Raw genomic sequence first — 7,533 nt, 5'->3', positions numbered from 1 at the left:
CTGTGTTAATTCGCCAGTTCACAATCTTGTCTGAGCCCTGAGACTTCACCTTTCCACTGTGACATCTTCAGCAGGTGGGCCATGCCGCCTTCATAGTTTTGACACGGCTGTCAGAGCCGTCCTTGCACAACCTGTCCAAAAGCAAAGAGAGGAGAATTACTATCTTATTTTTTGGAAAACCAGGAATACCTTCACAGAAGCATCCAAGCAGAATTCCCTTCATGTCTCCTCCTCTGGGGCTGTGTCACATGGTCCTACCTAACTCAAGACCCAGCAAGGGAAAATAAATTACCATGAGTACCACGGAAGGAGAGTCACCCCTTCCAAAGGTGGGGTTAACACTTGAGCACAATCAAGCCCCGTCCACAAGGAATAAGCAGGACGATGGACCACTACAGTGGAAGCTATAATGATTCACTCTCTCATTCCAGCCCTCCAGGACCCTGTAAGGTAGGAAGAATCAGGGATTTGTTTGTCCACTTCACCTATAATGGAGCTGAGACTGATATTTTAGTGGTGTCCTTGGCAGCTGATGCACCTCACTTCAAGTCCAATGTAAATTCTTTTCCCAGGTGGTTTCCAACAGGCAGATGCCTACACAACACAAGTTCAAGTTGGATTCATGTGCAAACACAAGGGCAACAGGTATGATACTCTTATTTGAAATCATGTTATCCAGTTCCTCTTTAAAGCTTAACATCTGGGCCAGGTGCAGTGGCTCCCACCTGTAATCCCAACACTTCGGGAGGCCAAGGAGGCAGGATCACTTGAGTCCAGGAGTTTGAGAACAGCCTAGGCAACATAGTGAGACCCTCCTCTCTGCAAAAACAAAAATAAATTAGCCCGGTATGGTGTTGTGAACCTGTAGTCCTAGCTACAAGGGAGGGTGAAGTGGGAGGATCACTTGAGCCTGGGAGGTTGAGGCTGCAGTGAGCTTTGAATGCACCTCTGCACTCCAGCCTGGGTGGCAGAGTGAGATCTTGTCTCAAAAAATAAAATAAAATACAAAGCTTAGCATCTGTGTCATCAAAATACGTCAGGCTGAGCAATAATCTCTGGGTAGATAGACATAGGTCTTGAGAGTCATCTAATCTGTTTTGCAGGCAAGATAGCAATGCTGACCTGGTATAGGTCTGGCTTTAACATAATTCTCACAGTTAATGGAGAGACAAGTCCATGAGAGCTGCAGACAGCTAGGAAGTGAGCAGAAGCCAGTGGTGCCCTCTAGCCCAGGGTATGAAATATTTATCACCCACTTTAATGGGCCATGGCTGCCTGACCCACCGTGCCCTGGAGTGGCTCACAGTTATGAGGCTTTAACAAGAACAATTCTGTGCTCTGCAAAGCTGGTTCAGCCTTGACTTGCCCCTGGACTATGGGAAGCAGCTTTTCAGGGAACAAGCTGCAGGTGTTCTCTGTGGGTTCTTTCCTTGAATAGGAGCGATGTCTTGCTGGCCCATTACACACACCGTCTTTCATGTGTGTCTTCATTTGGTGACTGTTCACCAGCCAGCTATGGATGCGGGGGCTTCAAAGTGGAATTGCTTCTCTTCTTTGTGGATCCCAAAGTGCTTTCCATATGATCTGCCACCCTGTGCTCTGTCAACATCATGGGATAACAGGAAACATCTTTGAGAGATGCAAAGAATCATAGCATTGAACATTTCCTCTCTCAAAGTCCAGCCCTCTGCTCTTGGGTCTCAGTACTGACCGCAGAGAGAGAGCTCATTGTCTTGCCTCTGATAGTGTTACTACTGATCAAAAACAAACAAACAAAAAAATCAATAGTAAACTATATGATCAAAAAAAAAAAATGCCTAACCTGTGAAGGTTAAAAAAACAAACTCAAAACACCTCTGAGACCCTCCATCCAGATGCTCTTAGCCTCCTCTGGCTTTCCCAAAACACCTGTGGTTCCCTTCGCAGAATAATGTTTGCCAATGCATAAAACAAAATACACAGGACTAGAGAGCTACCAATTAAGTTGCAATATGGTCATCAAAATAGTTTATTTATTTTTAGTTTATTTTATTTTTCCTTTTTTTGAGACAGGGTCTCACTCTGTGGCCCAGGCTGGAGTGCAGTGGCATGATCCTAGTTCACTGCAGCCTCAAACTCCTGGCCTCAAGTGATCCTCCCACCTCAGCCTCCCAAGTAGCTGGGACTACAGGCACACACCACCAAGTTCAGCTAACTTTCTTTTCTTTTTGAGACAGCTTTTTAAAATTTTTTGTAGGACAGGGTCTTGCTATGTTGCTCAGGCTAGACTCAAACTCCCGGCCTCTAGTGATCCACCTACTTTGGCTTCCCAAAGTGCTCAGATTACAGGCAGGAGCCACCATGCCCAACCTTTCAAACTAGTTTAAAAACAAATTGGTAAAAGAACAACATACGGGCTCTCTAGTATCAGATTCTATAACAAGAACTAATGGGGAGTGTGATAAGGGCTGTGTTTATGAAAATGATGAGCATCTTTTTCTCCTATGGCAAAAATCTCTGTGATATCAACTAATGACAAATTGATAGACACCGCTGAGGGGACTGCGCTCCGTGCCTGTATTCATGATTGAAGCAAATCCTAAATATTGGTTAAAAGTTAGGCAAAATGAAGATGGATTTTTATTCCTGCCTCTAATAGGTTGAACAGTGGCTCCACAAACAGTATGTCCATGTCCTAATCTCTGGAATCGATGAATGTAAACTTCTTAGGGGAAAAAATGTGGTCTTTGCAGACAAGTAAGTTCAGGATTTGGAGATGAGAGCATCCTGGATTACCCAGGTGGGCCCTAAATCCAATGACAAGTGCTGTTATGAGAGATGAAAGGGAAGGCATAGAGAACAGGAAAAGGCCATGGGAAGATAGAGACAATGTGACCAGCAAGACAGAAATTGGAATGATGTGTCTGGGCACAGTGGCTCACGCCTGTAATCCCAGCACTTTGAGAGGCCGAAGGGGGTGGATCACGAGGTCAGGAGTTTGAGACCAGCCTGGCCAACATGGTGAAACCCCATCTCTACTAAAAATACAACAACAACAAAAAAATTAGCCGGGCGTGGTGGCGGGAGTCTGTAATCCCAGCTACTCAGGAGGCTGAGGCAGAATTGCTTGAACCCGGGAGGGGGAGGTTGCAGTGAGCTGAGATCGCGCCACTGCACTCCAGCCTGGGCAGCAGAGCAAGACTCCCTCTCAAAAAAAAAAAAAAAGGAATGATGTGTCCAAGGAAGCCAAGGAACCCCTGCAGCCACCAGACACTGGGCAAAGCAAAGAGGTATTCTTCCTGCAAGCCTTCGGGGAGAGCACAGCCCTGCCAACGCCTTCATTTGGGACTCCGGCCGCCAGAACAGTGCCAGGATAAGTCCCTGTTGCTTTAAGCCACACAACTTGCAGCTATCTGTTACACTTAATGCACCACCCAAGTGAGTGGATGTCCCAAATCCTAGGATAAGGACCCTGTCTGGTATCACCTTGTCTCCCATTCACTCTACACATATTTGTCAAGGGCTTACCTTGTTCCAGGTTCACTTGTTAGCACTGCGGATGGGGCAGCAGCCAAGCTGCAGATCCTATGCTCAGGGAACTTTCATTTCAAAGGAGTGGGTGACAGAAAATAAACAACTGCATAATTAACAAACCTAATATCAGGGAGTGATAAAGGCCTTGAAAAAAAATAAAACAGTGATGTTTTCAGATTAATTGAGGGAGGAACCCTAGATGGGGTCAGGGAAGGCCTTGCTGAGGACATGACCATTTCGCTGAGATTTAAATAGTAGGAAGCCACCTACAAAGGTGGGGGGAAGAGTTTTCTACAGAAGGAAGGTGCAAAGGCCCTGAGGCTTGAGTGTGCTTTGATGAAGAGAAGGGCTGCACAGCCCTCAGCAGAGTGAGGGACAGTGGAGGAGGGGCCATCACCGAGGCACAGACCACTGGGGTGTTGGTCTGGGATCTCCTGAGATGGAAGTCTGCAGGCAGGGGAGTCATCGGGACGTGCTCTTGGGACTGTCCATTTGAAAAGGAGTGAAAGGGAAGCAGAAGTCTAGCAGAGAAGCCGGGCTGCCTTGTATTCACAAGAAAGGTCTCTGCTGGCCCCGCAGGGAGCATAGAGCTGGGAGGGCCTGCAGAGGTATCAGGCCGGAGGCTGGGCCTGACACCTGCATGGGTGTGTCCCCGGCTAGCTGCTCCCTAGGGATGGGAGTGTGACCTTGGATGAAGGACTCTTCGTTTCTGAGGAGCACAAGCTGCCCACACTCCGGCAGCTGGGAGACAGGGGGCTCAGTCCTGAAGGAGAGTCATGCACCGCAGCGCCCACTACAGGCCTGGAACACCTTGGCAAGGAGTTTGGGTTTTACAGCTTCGCATGTGGGGAAAACGAGGCTCAGGAGGTTAATGAGTCTCCTGAAGTCGCCTAGTAGGCTGGGAGCAGAGACAGGGCTTAGCCCCTTGCTTTCTAAATCGGTATTCCTTCCATTACTCCGCATCCTTTCCTGGAGTCATTATGTAAAATTCTGCTTCACAATCTGATGCTCTGAGCTTCCCAGGGCCAGGCCACTTCCATAAATGCCTTGCTAGTAGTTGTTTCTAAGGAACTGTCTTGATCTGCCCCTCTGTGAGACCTCAGTAGGGCTGGAGATGCACATGTGTGTACATCAATGCACTTGTGCACACACAAATGCACTCATGTGTGCACACAGGGGCATGCAAAGCATGTAAACTCACATATGCGTGCACACACACTTCAATATCTGTGCATTCCCTCCACTTCTGTATCTCTGGTAAAGCAAATTCTCCAGCCTTCTCCCGCAAGTGGGTGATTCATTACACCCCCCAGCAGTCATCAAGGGAGGTGCGGCCACACTTCGAAGAAATCACCTAAAGACGGGTAACCTGGCATGTGTGATTTCTTCTTAGCAGATAACATCTTCCAGGGGCCTGAGGCACTCAGATGAGATGTCACCTTCTCCAAAGAAAAAACGCATTTTGCACACGTTTCGGATTTTAGTTTACCAGCACTGGCCAATGAATGACTTTGGATTCTAATAACACTCTCATCTTCATACACTCTGAGGGCAGCCAGTCAAAGCAAGCCTGGTGCCTTGCAGGGCCTGGAAACAGACCAGACAAGATTTAAATGACCTCTCAGAATATCAGAAAAGGCCCTGCTAGACCTCACCCCCACTTTCCAGTGCATTGTGAATCTTTACACTTACCCTTTAAGTTATGTTTCAAAGAAAGCACACACATGCTTAGGGTCAATTTCACAGTCTTGCCAATGCTCTTAATGAGGTGAGTGGATAATGAAGGCAGTTCATGCAGTCAATGCCCCCTCGACTTCAAAGCCAAGAACTAGACCTAGCTGCTCCATCTACCAGCTGCGTCTCCTTGGCTTTATCGCTTAACCCCCAAACCACATCCACAAAATGGAAATCACAATCCAGTTTTCACATTTGGCCTGAAGACAAAGTGACACTTTATATAAATGTGGCTTTCAAACTCTAACTCCAATGTCCCTTTCAGGAACTATTGTGATGAGGCGCAGGTAGGCTAGAGCATGAGCTGCTCAAATACCCCACAGGCAGAAGCAACAGGTATGTCCTGGGACTCCAGCTTTGTGTCTGGGGCTGCACCTTCCCTCCAGGTCCACAACTGAGAGCCAGTGAATCCTTGGAATCTGGTTCTGCCACAAGTTTGCTGAGTGACTCTAGGCGAGTGACCCACCGTTGACCTCAGTTTCTTCATCTTCTGTAAAATGCTATCTGTCCTACCTACCTGTCCTTCCAAGTTCTGTGGTTGGAATTAAAGACTCCAGCCTGGAAAAGTGTCAGCCTACTGGATAAGGTCTCTCATGGCTCACACTTGCCTCCATCCCAGCTGCCACTGCACTGGTTTGGGGCCTCTGCCTGGGCTTCGTGTCCGGACTACCCCCCTCAGCCTCCCACCCTCACCCCATCATCCCTCAGGAATGGTGAAGCAGTCCATCAGAGGTCTAAATTCTCGCGCGTCATTTCCGAACTCAGAAAACACTACAGGCCCTCAAAAATGTGAAGGAAAACCTCATCAGCATCAGAACCACATCGTATAGTGGGGAAAAGTGCAGAATCTTGAGGCTGCCTGGGTTCAAATCCCATTTTCATCACTTACCAGCTGTGTGACTTTGGGCAAGTTCATTATCATCTCTGTACCTTACTTTCTTTACCTATAAAGTGAAGATGATGCTGATGAAGGCAAGAGTACCTACTTAATGGGAGATTTTGTGCAGATTATATGAAGTGCTGATCAGTGGCCCATTGCGAATCCTCAGTAAGTAGTATTCTCATCGTGACAGAATCTTTCATGTCACGCTTTCTAGTGGCAAAGACAACACTGCATCCAAGATCAAATAAACAAACGACATTTATCCATAAAATTGCAGCAAGGGAGGTAGCCTGCTGTCGCCTTCATTTCAGCAGGGCTTCAAAGGTGTTAGAAAGGAGAGTCAGTTTTATAGAATAAAAACAGGAAATGCTGAGACAATCTTGGATTGACAAGTATACTATTAAGGCGGGATTTTTAGCTGCGAGGAAACATCCTAATAGGTCCTCAGGTAGATTCAGCTGCCCTTAGCTGCAAAGGCAGGCAAGCAGCTCCTCAGTTTCAAAAGAGGAAGGATTGTTCAATATTAGGGCTAAGGGTTTCTGTGGCTAACCGTTTCCTGAAACAGGTCGGGGGTAGATGGGGTGCTTTTTTTGTGGTCAAACTGTCATAATGCATAATCACTGGTGTGGGGGTCACCAAGACAGGCACTTTTCACCCTCCCCCAGGCCCTCTGTCCCAAAAGAGTATCTGCAATGTGGCCACAGGGCCCCCAGTAGCTGCCCTCCACTCTCCAGCTCTCCCTGTCACCTGTATCTCCCCACCACTGCCCATTCTGCTCTTCCACCTACCTGGATTCCCAGGCTTCCCTGAAACCCCATGAGCCATCCCACACTGAGGGCTTCCACAGCACCAGCCCCACTCCACCCTGACCCAGTTATCCCTTGGGGATGCCTTTCCTGACATTCTGCCCCAGGGAGACCTCCTCTAAGGATGCCTCTGCCCTTGGTCTGGGATTGGCCAATCTATACTCCTAGCACTGGTTCTGCTTCTCACCTTGCCCCCATGATACCATGTGTGTGCATCTTTACCTATCACGTCTTATCTTCTGCACTTCAGCTTCTGGGGGAAAGACCTTCTCACACCTCTGCAAGGTTCAGTGTCTAGCATGGTATATTTTTAAGAGATGTTGACGGAATATAGGAATGTGTTCATGCATGAATGACTGATGTGGTTTCCATGGTGGGTCTCAAAGGTGAGTAGAACTTTACCAAGGAGAGGTGGACAGTAGAAAATAAGCCCCAGTGCATAGGGATTTAGTCTGCTTTGCTCACCTCCTATTCCAGGGCCTAGAATGGCTTCAGCATATTTGACTCTCGACAAGTATGTATTGGATTGGACAAATGACAGGAAGCCACTCTTCTCCTCCTTTCTCAGATACTAAGTAAATGAAGAGGCTTAGCCCA

At 47.7% G+C, this 7,533-nt stretch overlaps 2 annotated features.

Moving 5' to 3' along the window:
• Window positions 4,183-4,684: an enhancer, noted in NCBI's record as "H3K4me1 hESC enhancer chr8:134708677-134709178 (GRCh37/hg19 assembly coordinates)". NCBI's record gives its function as "activates a minimal SCP1, AML or CMV promoter by ChIP-STARR-seq in primed H9 embryonic stem cells {active_cell/tissue: H9 hESC(primed)}" and the evidence as "EXISTENCE:reporter gene assay evidence [ECO:0000049][PMID:30033119]".
• Window positions 6,817-7,086: an enhancer, noted in NCBI's record as "active region_28007". NCBI's record gives its function as "activates an Ori minimal core promoter by ATAC-STARR-seq in GM12878 lymphoblastoid cells {active_cell/tissue: GM12878}" and the evidence as "EXISTENCE:reporter gene assay evidence [ECO:0000049][PMID:35858748]".

Source organism: Homo sapiens, chromosome 8 (genome assembly GCF_000001405.40).
Source record: "Homo sapiens chromosome 8, GRCh38.p14 Primary Assembly".
NCBI classification, from domain to species: Eukaryota; Metazoa; Chordata; class Mammalia; order Primates; family Hominidae; genus Homo; species Homo sapiens.
This window is presented reverse-complemented; position numbering and strand designations above follow the sequence as displayed.